The sequence below is a fragment of the Homo sapiens genome, chromosome 8, assembly GCF_000001405.40.
Source record: "Homo sapiens chromosome 8, GRCh38.p14 Primary Assembly".
NCBI classification, from domain to species: Eukaryota; Metazoa; Chordata; class Mammalia; order Primates; family Hominidae; genus Homo; species Homo sapiens.
The window spans coordinates 13,080,347-13,094,022 of NC_000008.11; the positions used below are offsets into that span (position 1 = coordinate 13,080,347).

The following is a 13,676-nucleotide window of genomic DNA, read 5'->3' on the forward strand; positions in this document are numbered from 1 at the left end:
CCTGTGTATATACAGCAAAGGTAATTACTTTGGGCTACAGCTACTAACATGATTTAGCAAACTCCCTGCCTGCAAAAGTCTCATCATCCCCTAGAGAATGGGCCCAAACTCATTGCAACTGTGCAGACCTACCTGAGCTTTTCCTGCCACAGGCTCTTTGAGATCTGTTATAATTTGCATTCCTTAGGCAAATGGAATTTAAATTCCTTAGGCAAATTTCATCCTGATGGAACACCAAGATGACATGCATGGCATGATCTCATTGTTTGGGATTTCTGCTTTAGAGTCATTAACATATGCTTCAACAGGCAGGGGAGGGAAAGCAGCTGGGCTCAGTTCCACTTTGCTTTCCTGAGTGCTCCCTCACAGCTGAATAACCCTTGCTTTTCAAAGCACCTTCACAAATATCTCTGTGGCGCTTCCTGATATTCTTGTGTGGTGGTGAGGGCATTATGCGGTATTGCAGGAAGAGTTACAAGACTGGTATTCTGGTCCTGGGCTGCAAGTTAAGAAGCCTGTCAGTAGATGTTCCCGTGTACCCACTAAGAAATGCATGATAAGAGAGAATGGGTGTGCTGTGATCAGACCACATGTGTAATTAACTGTTCTGTTCTTGCACAAGGGGAGAATCAGGTCCTATGTGTCACAAGGAGGATAAGCGGAGTCTTTCTACACTTCAAATCATATTTGATTTACGAGACAGACCTACAAAGTCTTTCAACCATCAGCCTGAAATGAAACTTTCTCCTCCTACTTATCTTCACCGATTTAAATTCTCCTGTCATCTTAGTAATAGGGTGACAGAATTTCCTTGGGACGCTGACTCAGGTGGCATAAACCAAAAAGTATCTGAGACAGGTCTCAATCAATGTAGATGTTTATTTTGCCAAGGTTAAGGACAATGCCTGGAAGACAGGTCTGTGAATTTCTGCAAAGATGATTTTGAGGCTTCAGTATTTAAAGGGGAAAGGCTGGTTGGTGGGGGAAAGAGGGAGGGTATTACTAAATCCACAAGTCGCCAGAGAAAAGGAGCAGGTAGGGGGCTGGGCATGGTGGCTCATGCCTGTAATCCCAGCAGTTTGGGAGGTCTAGGCAGGCGGATCACTTGAGGTCAGGAGTTCGAGACCAGCCTGGCCAACATCGTGAAACCCTGTCTCTACTAAAAATACAAAAATTAGCCATAGAATGGTGAGGACATGTAGGCTTCACGGGGTGCATGTGAGGCTTAAGTAAGCATATGAAAAGAGGATAAAAGTGCTGTAAAGACACATGAATGCAGCTGTAAAATCCCCCATACCCCTATAACCTCTCTCTTTCTGCACTCCCCTATCTAGTGATGTTGGAAAGTACCTATATCGGATTATTGTCTTCCTTCATTTTTCTTTAGATCTTACTTTTCAGAAATTTCAGTTGTCTCCACAGCCCTGAAAACAAATCTCTTAAAGAATCATGTAATGTTGTTAGATTTTCCCAACTTATTCCATTAAATTGGTAGATAGGATGCTTGGAGTGTGTAAAACAATTACCTTGAGCTTTGTTAAACCCTTAGCTTCTCCTTCTGAGTGCATAGGAACCTGTCCTAGTGCTCATCACGTGGCACTGACATTTCTATTTTAAAAATCTGTGAGGGCAGATTTTAATTCTGCAAGGGCAGGGTGATACCAGCCTTGCTCACAGCTTGATCTCGTGCCGGATACATAGTTGGTGAAAAACTGACAAAATGTGTTGATTAAGCAAGTAGTAGGTGGTGTGATAAGAGCAATCTAAATCCACACTGGGGGCTTGTGAGGGTGGCTACTCCCTCCTTGGTAACCTTGTAAACTGTTGGGAACCAATGACTCCCGGTCTCTTCAAATAAAGTACTAGGTATTCAGGCCTATGATATTTTGATCTTTATTTTATACAGCTCTGAACAAACCAGGTTTGAAGAGTCAAAAAAAAAAAAAAAAGTCCCTGATGTGTGTGTGTGTGTGTGTCTTTTAAAAAATGATAAGGGGAAGGCTGGGCATGGTGGCTCATGCCTGTAATCCCAGGACTTTGGGAGGCCGAGGTGGGGGATCGCTTGAGTCCAGGAGTTCGAGACCAGCTTCAGCAACATGGTGAAACCCCATTGCTACAAAAAATACAATAATTAGCTGGGTGTGGTGGTATGCGCCTGCAGTCCCAGCTATTTGAGAGGCTGAGTTGGAAGGATCGCTTGAGCCAGGGAGGTCAAGGCTGCAGTGAGCCTTGATCATACCACTGCACTCCAGCCTGGGCAACAGAGTGAGACCCTGTCTCGAAAACAAACAAATCACAAAACAAAAAAAACAAAACAAAACGGATTATAAGGTTAGGGCCCCCCCCCCACCAACCTTTTTCTATGCCCAAAGTAAGTATTTGTTGAAATACAACCTCTTCTAGGATAGACATCACATTGGGAGACATGTGATTTGTTAAAATGCCATCACAAACTGTTTAAAATCAGTAGCCATAGTATCTATATATAGTATCTATGTCACCTTCATCAGTTTAAATTTAAGACTCCAACAGGTTAATTTGTCTTTTTCAGTTTAAAACTTAAGATCCCATGAAGTGGCCGGGCGCGGTGGCTCACGCCTGTAATCCCAGTGCTTTGGGAGGCCGAGGCGGGTGGATCACAAGGTCAGGAGATCGAGACCACTCTGGCTAAGACAGTGAAACCCCATCTCTACTAAAAATACAAAAGTTAGCCGGGCGTGGCCGCGTGCACCTGTAGTCCCAGCTGCTGGGGAGGCTGAGGTGGGAGAATGGCGTTAACCCGGGAGGTGGACCTTGCAGTGAGCCGAGATCGCGCCACTGCACTCCAGCCTCGGCGACAGACAGAGACTCCATCTCAAAAAAAAAAAAAAAAAAAAAAAAAAAAAAAGTCCCATGAAGTTGGAAATTTCCAGTCTCTGTCATCTGAAAATCAGCAGTGAATGAAAAGGAGGCTTTAAGATGATCGGGATCCTAGATGCTCTTCCCTTTGCAGTAACAGAAGCTAATCCAATCAGTTCAGTATAGCAAATAATAAATTTATTAGGTGCCTACAAGTACAAAATACTGAAAGCCGCTGCAGGGGATTATAAAGATGTGTAAGAGACAAGCCCTGCCCTCAAAGAGCTTACAATCTAGGCAATTAGTCACACAAATAAGTTGTGATGGCGCTCTAAGTGACCTCAGCAGAGTTCTTGAAAATGTTCATATCCTTCAAATTCTTCTCTTGTCAAATTAAACAGTGGGAAAGAGAACTTTTGTGGCATTCACTGGTGACCCTGACTCTGCTTGCAAGCATCTTTCTGCTGTTGCACGTTGTCGTCATCCTCTCAGCGTCGTTTCCTAACTGGACCTTTGTTGGAGAGAATCTCCGTGCTTCCTGAACCTTCACCAGGGTTTCCTGTTTGGGAGTGGGTGGCTCAGTTGCAGTTTGGCCTTGGAATGATTTGCAGTCCGATTTTTCCTTCAGCAAATCGCTCTTTTGATTGTAGTTGATGCTAAAATGCTATGCTTTGCAATCTGTGGTTTTAAGGGTGGGAGTGAGATGCAATATTAAGGAAGGCAGCCCAGACTTTTCCCTTACTTTAAACATTTAATAATAGTGCACTTATTGATTATAATCTGTACAGATATAGAGCAAGTTATAAACCTCTTCCTTTTATTTATTTTCTTCACTTAGACTGTATTCACGTAAAGTGTATTTACAATAAGAAGAAAAAAGCCTTGAGGTACAAAACCCAAAAGAATATCTGAGGTATAAATACAAGTATATCTTAAATAATAATCTTTATCATGCTTTATCTATGTTTGAAAGCACAGTGGACATGTTTCTTAATAGAATGGTATATACAACATACAATCTTACAAATCTGGAAGCCATCAAAATTGAATATCCATGTATATCTTCATGAGGAACACTGATATCCAAAATACTCAAATTTTAAAACTCTAATCTGATGCCCTGCCCCAAAATTCTTCAAAGAACCTTTGAAATAACACTGAAAATGGTAACTAAATTATAACAAAATAAAAATCCTTCTTACAGCTCTCATTCATACATTATTCACTTTTGATCCATACACAATAAATTTACTAATACTGTCTCTTGAGTCAATCCTTACCATTACAGTAAAACCTGAATAAAGACCACCCTTCTAAAGGTTCTAAAAAACTTCACTGGTTTGGGTTGGTTTTCTTCTTGTTGCGTTTTACTATGATTACTATTTTTCATTACCACTTAAATATATTTCCAGGGCATTCTAAAGGAAAAAAAAAAAAAAAGAAATGTAGGAAAAATAAAATAAGACAAAAAGTCATAAAACCAGAAAACCTATTTGCTGATAAGAACAAGCCCAATGAATAAACACATGTGGCTTTCAGGAATGCCGTTAACAACCAAAGGCGGGGAAAAAGCCTTTTGTAGGTGAGTTAAATTTACAGGGATTTCCTTGGGACACACATAGTTTCCTATATTCCCAAACATAGTGTCTTAAGGCGTTTCTGTTACAAACACAAAAATGCAAAGAATTCTAACAGGGAAAAAGTGTTGATGCTTGATTTAAGAGTAAGTGTTATCGTGTTCAGTTTTTATATCTCGACTTAAACAAAAAACAAAACAAAACAAAACAAAACCCTGTGGATCAGAGCCAGTAAGGCTAGAGGGAGCAGTTCATCCCTGAACTAATCCATACTGGTTAAAACTACATCACTATTTGCAATCGGGTCTAAAAATAAACTGCATTTGGAATGGGTGTAAGAGCCAACCTATTACAATCAAAGTACAGAAGAGGTTCGTGGAAAAGGAATATGCTTAATAACTTCGAAAAAAAATACCCATAAATGGACAAGGGTGTTGGGCCCCCTTTCTGGGTGGATTCAGGGGTAGTCAGATATTCCAGGTTAAACTGAACCTGATGCATCAATCTCCTTCTTGGAGGTGTCTCAGTGTGCCAGACACTGAATCCACCTTAGACATCTATTGCCATTCAGCCAGCAACAAACACACATTCACACTCCTCTGTGCAAACCTTTCTTTGCTCATCTTGGTGAGAAAACACATCCAAGAGTACCAACTATTCCAGTGGATACACCAGTCCCTCAACACACTGCAAATAAAGCGACACAGGTACGCATACACTGATATCACAAGAGAATGAAGTATCTTCATTATCTTCCATAATGTATTTAAAGAGTTTTGCTTCTCAGAAGCAATTTGAATAAGAATACACATAAATTTTTTTTTTTTTTTTGCACAGTCTTACATATTCCAGTCAAGGTCTATGAATACAGACCCTCAACAAACAGGAAGCAGCTTTAAAAATGTATCAAATTGCTATAGTCAATTCCTACACTCCAGCTTGTAGTTTTCTTTGTTTCAGGATTAGACACAGAACCCATTCTTCAAGGACTGGCAAAAGTTCTAGAAACAAACACCATGGTGGTGGAAGCGGTTGCGTTGCTTCAGTGATCACCTAGATTTGGTGTCTTTGGTTTCAGTGTTCTGGTTACTGAAGGAATCCCGGATCTTTACAACTTCAGCTGCACACAAATGTCCAAAAGATTTTGTGTACCATTCTGGCATGTGGCCCCTATCAGAGAAAAGAAAGAAAAGCTGATGAATTATTTAAGTTAGAAAGCATGGAAATAAAATGAGAAACATCTGTTTGCTAGTTCAAATGCATAAAATCTATCATTTCCCATGCCTTTGAATTCATGGCCGAGCTACCATATTTGCTTTGCTTTAGAACCACATTTTCTAAGGGAACCAAATTACGAAGTGGTCGCTGAAAGACCAACAAACATGAAATGCTACTTTCTAAACACCATTCTTCATGAAGTCACCAAGAAAAAATGACGTGTTTGTTTAAGGCATTCTTTGCATTAGACAAAAAGTCAGAATTTCCTTCATGACCCTCACCATATAAAAAAATCAGAATCAGAACATACCTTAAGTCAACTCTGCACATGTAGGTGAGTTTGGATTTTCCTGGCCCACAGGGTTCAATCAAATACCTGGACAAGAGCACATTAACCCTCACACCCACCACAGGTGCGCGATCGTGATCCACAGAGGTTAGTAAAAGGGCACAGGCTCCTTTGGGTAAATTAGTCCTCCAGGTTCTGTAGAGACAAAACCAGAGGCAGAAATGATGGAATTTCATAGAAGCCAAGTTTAAAATCGTGCTTCACTCTTCACTATTTGCAGTGTGGTGACGGGTCAGGCTCAGTGGCCATGCTGTGTGACCCAGGCCTAGGTAAATGGCATCCTCTAAACTACTTGCTATGGTGTACATGTGTTCCCCAAAAAGCATGTGATGGAAAGTGAATGCCCAATACAACAGTGTTGGGAGGTGGGGCCTAATGGGAGCTGGATTAATGCCAATTATAAAAGAGCTTAAGGCTGGGTTCCATGGCTCACGCCTGTAATCCCAGCACTTTGGGAAGCTGGGGAGGGAGGACTGCTTGAGCTCAGGAGTTCAAGACCAGCCTGGACAACATAGTGATACCTCATCTCTACTAAAAATAAAAAATATTAGCCGGGCATGGTGGTGTGCTCCTGTAGTCTCAGCTACTCCGGGGGCTGAGATGGTAGGATTGCTTAAGCTGTAATCATGCCACTGTACTCAAACTTGGGCAACAAAGTGATACCCCCCCATCTCAAAATAAATAAATATAAAAATAAAAATGGCTTGAGGCTGCACATTTGCTCTTTTGCTCTCCCTTGCCCTCTCTTTGCCCTTCCACTATGGGATGACACAGCAAAAAGACCCTCATTAGGCATGGTGGGTGGCCCATGCCTGTAATCCCGGCGCTTTGGGAGGTTGAGGTAGGAGGATCGCTTGAGCCCAGGAGTTTTGAGACCAGCCTGGACAATATGGTGACACCATGTCTCTACCAGAAACAAAAAAATTAGCCAGGTGTGATGGCACATGCCTGCAGTCCCAACTACTTGGGAGGCTGAGGGGGGAGGATTGCTTGAGCCTGGGAGGTGAAGGCTTCAGCAGCCATGAGTGTGCCACTGCACCCTAGCCTTGGTGACAGAATGAAACCATGTCCCCAAATCAATCAAACAACCAACCAACTAACCAGATGCAACTACTTGATCTTGAACTTCCCAGCCTTTAGAACCATGAGCCAAATAAATATCTGTTCATTATAATTGCCTGGTCTGTGAGATTCTGTTAGAGCAGCATTACATGCACGAAGACACTGTACAAGGACTGCTGAATGAGGAACTCTGTACAGAGCCGTTGTTACAGAGGGTTTATGTGCTCAGACAGTCTCCTCTTTGAAAAAAGAGCCCATTTGAAGTGTAGCTTAAAACCATTTTTCTATTTCACAAATGTCTTGGAACACAGACACCTAAAGGAGCGCTGGCTGTTTGAAAAGGTCTGGACTTCCAATGTGACATTTCCACAAAGATTTTTGGAATTCTTCTTTCAGTAATATCTCCAGAGAATTTATGAATTACACATACATCAGCCTTAACCACATCTCCCTTGGGACTCAAATGTTATTTCCTGGCTTATTCATTCACTAGCTGTTTCTGACAAGAAAATCTATCCTAAAAGGGGCAAAAATCTGCTACGAATGAGCATATTCATTGGAAGGGGCCTCTCTTTCTGAGCTCAGTTACCAAAGAGTTCAGACCATTCTCAGCGAGGAACACACTGCTAGAATAAATGTAGATCTGTTTTCCATATTTGAAGGTGTTCACTACTTTTCTGGAAGCATATGTTTTGTTTTGTTTATTCAGAAATAAGGTCTTGCTCTGTTGCCCAGGCTGCGGTACAGTGGCATGCTCACAGCTCACTGCGGCCTCAAACTCCTGGCTCAAGGGATCCTCCTGCCTCGGCCTCCCGAGTAGCTAGGACTACAGGCATGCACCACAACATCTAGCTGATTTTTAAAATTTTTTTGTAGAGATAGGGTCTTGCTATATTACCCAGGCTGGTCTTGAACTGCTGGCCTCAAGTGATCCTCCCACCTTGGCCTCCCAGAGTGCTGGGATTACAGGTGTGAGCCACCATATGCCCGGCCTCTACTTTAAATAATTATACCATCTTGTAAGATCAGTGACATATAGGCTTGGTTCATATATGGAGTCATCCTTGTCACAAAAAAACAACTGGGAAGCGCTCACCTTAAAACAACGTAGTCTCGAGCAGGATGAGGTGCCATACTGTTTTGGACATACTGGTAAATTTCAGTTTGGCTGTCCAGAATTTCGATCACTTTTGAATCCAACAGGTCTACATCCCAGAGGTGCTGTTCTTTAAGTAGGCGCTTTAAGATTTCCTCTGGCACAGCAGGGACTTCAATGACTGACCTCCAAAGCCTCAGAGGGGGTCCTTCGCTCACCTGGAAAGAGGATGTATTTTTCAGTGCCAAGGCAATCCATACACACCTAGTTTTTGAAGTCGAATTGTTAGTTAGACTAACAATTTTAGTTACATATAATCAACGTTAATTGATTAAATGATATAAATAATACTATATAATCAGTATATAAAGAAATATTGGGGGCTAATAAATCTATGACTTAAATAGGCTGCTGTCCCCAAGCATATTTAAGAGCAAGCCAGAAAGTGAAAAAAAGCTGTTGTCAACTCGAGTCAAAATGATGACATTTGAGCCGGGTGCAGTGGCTCATTCCTGTAATCCCAGCACTTTGGGAAGCCGAGGCGGGTGGATCATCTGAGGTCAGGAGTTCAAGACCAGCCTGGCCAACATGGTGAAACCCTGTCTCTACTAAAAATATGGAAATTAGCCAGGCGTGGTGGCAGGCACCTGTAAGTCCAGCTACTCAGGAGGCTGAGGAAGGAGAATCACTTGAACCTAGGAGGCACTTTGCAGTGAGCTGAGATCACACCACTGCACTCCAGCCTGGGTGATGAGAATGAAACTCCATCTCAAAAGAAAAAAGAAAAAAATGATGACATTTGTTTTTTTTTTTCTGGGACCTATATCAGAGTGCATGCAATAAAGAAATATCAGTCACTGGCAGGGCATGGTGGCTCACGCCTATAATCCCAGCACTTTGGGAGGCCAAGGTGGGCAGTCACAAGGTCAGGAGTTCGAGACCAGCCTGGCCAATATGGTGAAACCCCGTCTCTACTAAAAATACAAAAATTAGCATGGCGTGGTGGTGGGCACCTGTAGCGCCAGCTACTCGGGAGGCTGAGGCAAGAGAATAGCTTGAAACCGGGAGGCAGAGGTTGCAGTGAGCCGAGATCATGCCACTGCACTCCAGCCTGGGTGACAGAGCAAGACTCCATCTCAAAAAATATAAATAAATAAAAACAAAAACATCAGACATTTGCACTCATTTCCAAAGCCGGCAAGGCCACCCAGCCTACTCCCACTGTTTGTTTATTTTCAAGATGGTAGAGGCGGCATCAACATATACCTCCGATGGACCTATCCTGCTGAGCCTTACAAGATGCCTCTGCCCTCAAGAGGTTTACCAGTCCTAACTGGAGTTAATTTCCCCCTAAGGGATCCCCGCTCATTAAAGGGCCAAGAGAACAGTAACTAAGAACAGAGAAGAGTGCAAAGGGATTCTGACCAAATTATGGAAAAATCGAAGCGTGTCATAGGATGTTCCGCATCTCAATGCCATTAGCAAAACATTCTAGGGAAGTCTAGTGTGATTCTGTAGAGCCAAAGGAGTTCATTAGAAATAGTTGAAATCCTCTCCCAAGTGTTACACAGGAAGAAAATTACTCTTGCTTTGCCCGGTTTCCACTCTCACCACGGGGATCTTACTCACCCCGGTGCCCAGCTCTACAAGGGAGGTTGTGGGCTACAGATCCCCAGACAGATTAGTTGGCAAAAGCGTGTTATCTCTGATGGACCCAAGCTTCGACTCCTGGACTCAACTAGCCGACAACAGGGTGAAGCCTTACCTTCTTATAGGACAGCTCAGCCTGCTCCGAAGTGGAGTAGCTGACCCAGCCTTTAAACTTCTCTTTGACTTCTTTAAACAGGCCATCCACACAGTCCTGGAGGAAGTGTTGGTAGTCAGCTGAGTCATCATTACCCAGGTGCCCGAGTGCTTCCAGAGTGAGGGGCTTCAGCTCTTGTTCGGTATAGGAATTACGACATCGGCTCATTTCCTCGGGAACCTGTGCGGAACATGACAGACAGAAAGGAGGTGAGTCCACCTGTACTCAATCTCAATGCCCATCAGTGGAAAAGACTGGGTAGGAACAATGGCCTGGTCCTTAAAGCAGTGCAGGCATCTTCCCGCCGGAGGTGGGCTATCATGCTGACCGCACGTGTTATCACGAGGATATGAACAGATCACCTCCATAAATGTATCTGAAATCTTATTTCCATGTAAGGTCTTTGGAAAGTTAGAGTAGGGGGAGTGAATTACATTGGTCAAAGCAGGTTTCTCAGATACGGAAGTGGATACAGCAGTTTAATTCCAGATAATTTGTTGCTTTTTCTTTCTTTCTTTCTTTTTTTTTTTTTTGAGAGAGAGTTTCATTCTGTTACCTAGTGGAGTGCAGTGGCAAAATATTGGTTCATTGCAACCTCCACATCCCTGGGCTCAGGTGATCCTCCCACCTCAGCCTCCCAAGTAGTTGAGACTACAGGTGTGCACCACCACACCCGGCTAATTTTTAAATTTTTTTTTGTAGAGATGAGGTCTCACCATGTTGCCCGGGTTGGTCTTGAACTCCGGAGCTCAAGTGATCCACCCACCTCAGCCTCCCAAAGTGTTAGAATTACAGGCGTGAGCCACTGCGCCCGGCTGCTTTTCCAAGTAAAGGGACAATTTCATTAAACATGATTAACTCTAGCTGATACATTATAATATATGTAAATAAGACATTCTCAGGCTATTTATACCGTCTCCAGCTGTGGAAAAGGTCTTCAGGTAAGACATGAACAAGGGTCAAGCCTAAGATTTTGTACCTATTCACATTATCCTTAATAAAGGAGCCAAACTTCTCAATTCCTTACCTGGAAAAGCTTCTTGCACTCGGCGATCATATGGGCCAGCCCTTGAGTGGCAGCTAGGTTTTCATTCAAATCTTTCTGATCTGGTTTGCCCAAACTTTGTTTTCTTTGCATTACCCTAGGTAGAAGAAATACAGGAGGGGAACAGTTCAAATATTTATATATTTTTCTTCAAGGTATTATTCAAGGAAACCCAAAGAAGAGAGAAAAAAAAATTTTCACTGGAATCTGTTTATTGTTAAGTGGATTAAGAGTGTTTTTACTTTGGTCACCAGAGTATCTCAGAGTTTTGTCAACAACACACAAAAAAACATTAAAGAGATATGCTTTTGATGAAATCCAGGTGATTCAAACCATTTAATTAAATAGGTTCCTACTGGGAACAGGGCAGCTTGTAGGGGCTGTGTTTGCATGGTGGGGGAGCAACTTCTGAGGAGTGTGGGAAAGGAGTCCCAGGGAGTTGGAGTAAAGGGTGTCATCATCTTTATCTGCCTGAATACACAGGCCCCCTCCCACAGGTGAGGGCTAAGTCCATTGTTTCCTTGACCTTTTGTCTTCATCTTATTTGATCTCTCTCCTCTACTCATCTCTAGCTCTGTATCCCATTGCAGTTGGAATGCCCCAGTCAACTTTAAGAACTATTTAAATGTGGCCGGGCGCAGTGGCTCACGCCTGTAATCCCAGCACTTTGGGAGGCTAAGCCGGGTGGATCATAAGGTCAGGAGCTCGAGACCAGCCTGGCCAACATGGTGAAACCCCGTCTCTACTAAAAATATAAAAATTAGCTGGGCGTGGTGGCAGGCACCTATAGTCCCAGCTACTCGGGAGGCTGAGGCAGGAGAATGGCTTGAACCTGGAAGGCAGAGGTTGCAGTGAGCTGAGATCGTGCCATTGCCCTCCAGCCTGGGCAACAGAGCAAGACTCTGTCTCAAAAGGAACTATTTAAACATACATTTAAACATTATATGACTTTCAGAAGCAACCTAACCTGCACTAGCATAACTAGGCCCCAGGCCTCTAGCTAAGAAATACTTTTCAAGTTCCTTTAGAGCTGAGGAAAAGGATCAGTTCGATGGATTTTGTCTGTGGGGGTTAAGTCCAGTGAGACTATTTTCTCATGCACGCCAACAGACCAGTCTCAGGTATGTCTTTATTAGCGGTGTGAGAATGGACTAATATAGCGGTCTAACCTTCTTGCTTGTTTCAGGAAAGAGTCCCACAAAACCACAGCTACGGAGAGTCCTAGGAAGAATGTAGGCTGCCCCCTGTGTGCATGCACCTCCCATGCAGCCCGTACCTGGGAGAGGAATTCTCTCTCTTCAGGGTGTTGAGATGGAAGAGGGAAGGCGCTAAGCACACGGCCAGGTTGGTTGGGGTCATCTGGTTTTCTTTTACGGCTGCTGTGACATCGCTCAGGAAATAAAGCAGGGTCTGCAGAACCTCCCGGTTCTCGTCAGGCAGCAGCATGATGGCAGCCTTGATGGCCTGCAGGCGCTGGTCCTTGGGCACATCTGCACGACACCAGCACTTTCTCCATCAGCTTGGTGAATTTGCATGGACATTGCAAGGAAATGTCCCAGAGCAAATATCGGCATCAAATACCTCAGCCCAGTACTGAACAAGCACTTGTAGAAAGTGCACTAGAGGTTAATACGGTAAAAGTTATGAATTGCCACCGGCGTCACTATCCTCAAGTATTTCCTGCCTCATGAAGGAGTGAAAAAATTTTTAAACACCCACAATACCCAAACACTCTTAAATCCACCTCAGAGTTCGGCTCTAGAGGATGCCTGCTCTTTTAGTTTACAGAACAGTTTTTTCTTTCCTAAGCATGAAAAAAAAAAATCCCTAATTTATCAATCTCAATTACTGAAAACACTATACACTTTTGTTTAGTGTTGATGAAAAATCTTATCTGAGATATGTACAAGAACGTAAGAACAGAGATCTCTCAGCCTTGAGTACAAAATGTTCAGTATCTCTGGAGATTTGCATGAGTTTAACTGATTTGTTCCTTCTTGAAGTGGGAAAAGCTGCTAAAATATTCAGTTCTGAATTGAACTGAACTGAAAATATTCAGTTCAGTTCAATTAATAAATAAAACACACTGAATTAGTAATTTCTTAAGTTTTAGAAAGCATGCTCGAGAGGCTATAAAAATGCATATGAATATGCAAATATATAAAAATGCAAATAAACCCATAAACAATCTACAGGTAGAAAATGCTGATCCCGATCTTCAGGTCTCCTTGAATACATAACTCTTTAAAAGAGCATGTGGTGGAAAAATCAAGTCACTCAAATGTAGCTCCATAGGACAAACTGATTAAACAGCTCCATGGTTACAGCACATAACAAATACCTCGGTGAGGAAAATGTGACCTGTGTTTTTATAAAATATGAAAGGATGAAACAACCAATGAAATAATCCAGACCAGCTCCATTTCTCATAAAATAAAGTCCACTGTGCCAATCCTAGAGACAATTTGAGCGCTAAGAGAGGCTGCTTTTAAATTACGTTGCTGTAATACCACACTGAGCCAAGAAAAACACAAGGCTGTAAAAGCCATAATCCTGATCTTGATCATTAATTTCGACAACTGTTTTCTTTAAGCTTTACATAAAAGTAAGAAGGGCATGGGTATTGTTCTCCCAAGTATTTCTGGCAGAGACTGAGATGAATAACAGAAAAAGATTATTTATTCATT

At 42.6% G+C, this 13,676-nt stretch overlaps 1 protein-coding gene across 23 annotated transcripts in view, besides 1 other annotated feature; it reads right to left on the reverse strand.

Annotated features, from left to right (window-relative positions):
• DLC1 (DLC1 Rho GTPase activating protein) overlaps nucleotides 3,015-13,676 on the reverse strand; it is a 521,260-nt gene continuing 510,598 nt past the window's right edge. For 18 of the 23 annotated variants that reach the window (NM_001348082.2, NM_001348081.2, NM_001413124.1 and 15 more), the window contains 6 exons: nucleotides 12,266-12,479; nucleotides 10,972-11,086; nucleotides 9,906-10,124; nucleotides 8,141-8,358; nucleotides 5,944-6,117; nucleotides 3,015-5,585 (listed from right to left, as the gene is read on the reverse strand). In NM_001348082.2, the coding sequence (NP_001335011.1) occupies nucleotides 5,465-5,585; nucleotides 5,944-6,117; nucleotides 8,141-8,358; nucleotides 9,906-10,124; nucleotides 10,972-11,086; nucleotides 12,266-12,479 (1,061 nt within the window). In that variant the 3' untranslated portion in view covers nucleotides 3,015-5,464. The remainder of the gene's footprint in view (nucleotides 5,586-5,943; nucleotides 6,118-8,140; nucleotides 8,359-9,905; nucleotides 10,125-10,971; nucleotides 11,087-12,265; nucleotides 12,480-13,676) is intronic. The other 5 variants (NM_001413129.1, NM_001413136.1, NM_001413135.1 and 2 more) reach the window with 4 other exon arrangements.
• Nucleotides 9,520-10,719: an enhancer, noted in NCBI's record as "MED14-independent group 3 enhancer chr8:12947375-12948574 (GRCh37/hg19 assembly coordinates)". NCBI's record gives its function as "activates an origin of replication core promoter dependent on BRD2, BRD4, P300/CBP and CDK7 cofactors, and independent of MED14, by STARR-seq in HCT116 cells {active_cell/tissue: HCT116}" and the evidence as "EXISTENCE:reporter gene assay evidence [ECO:0000049][PMID:35650434]".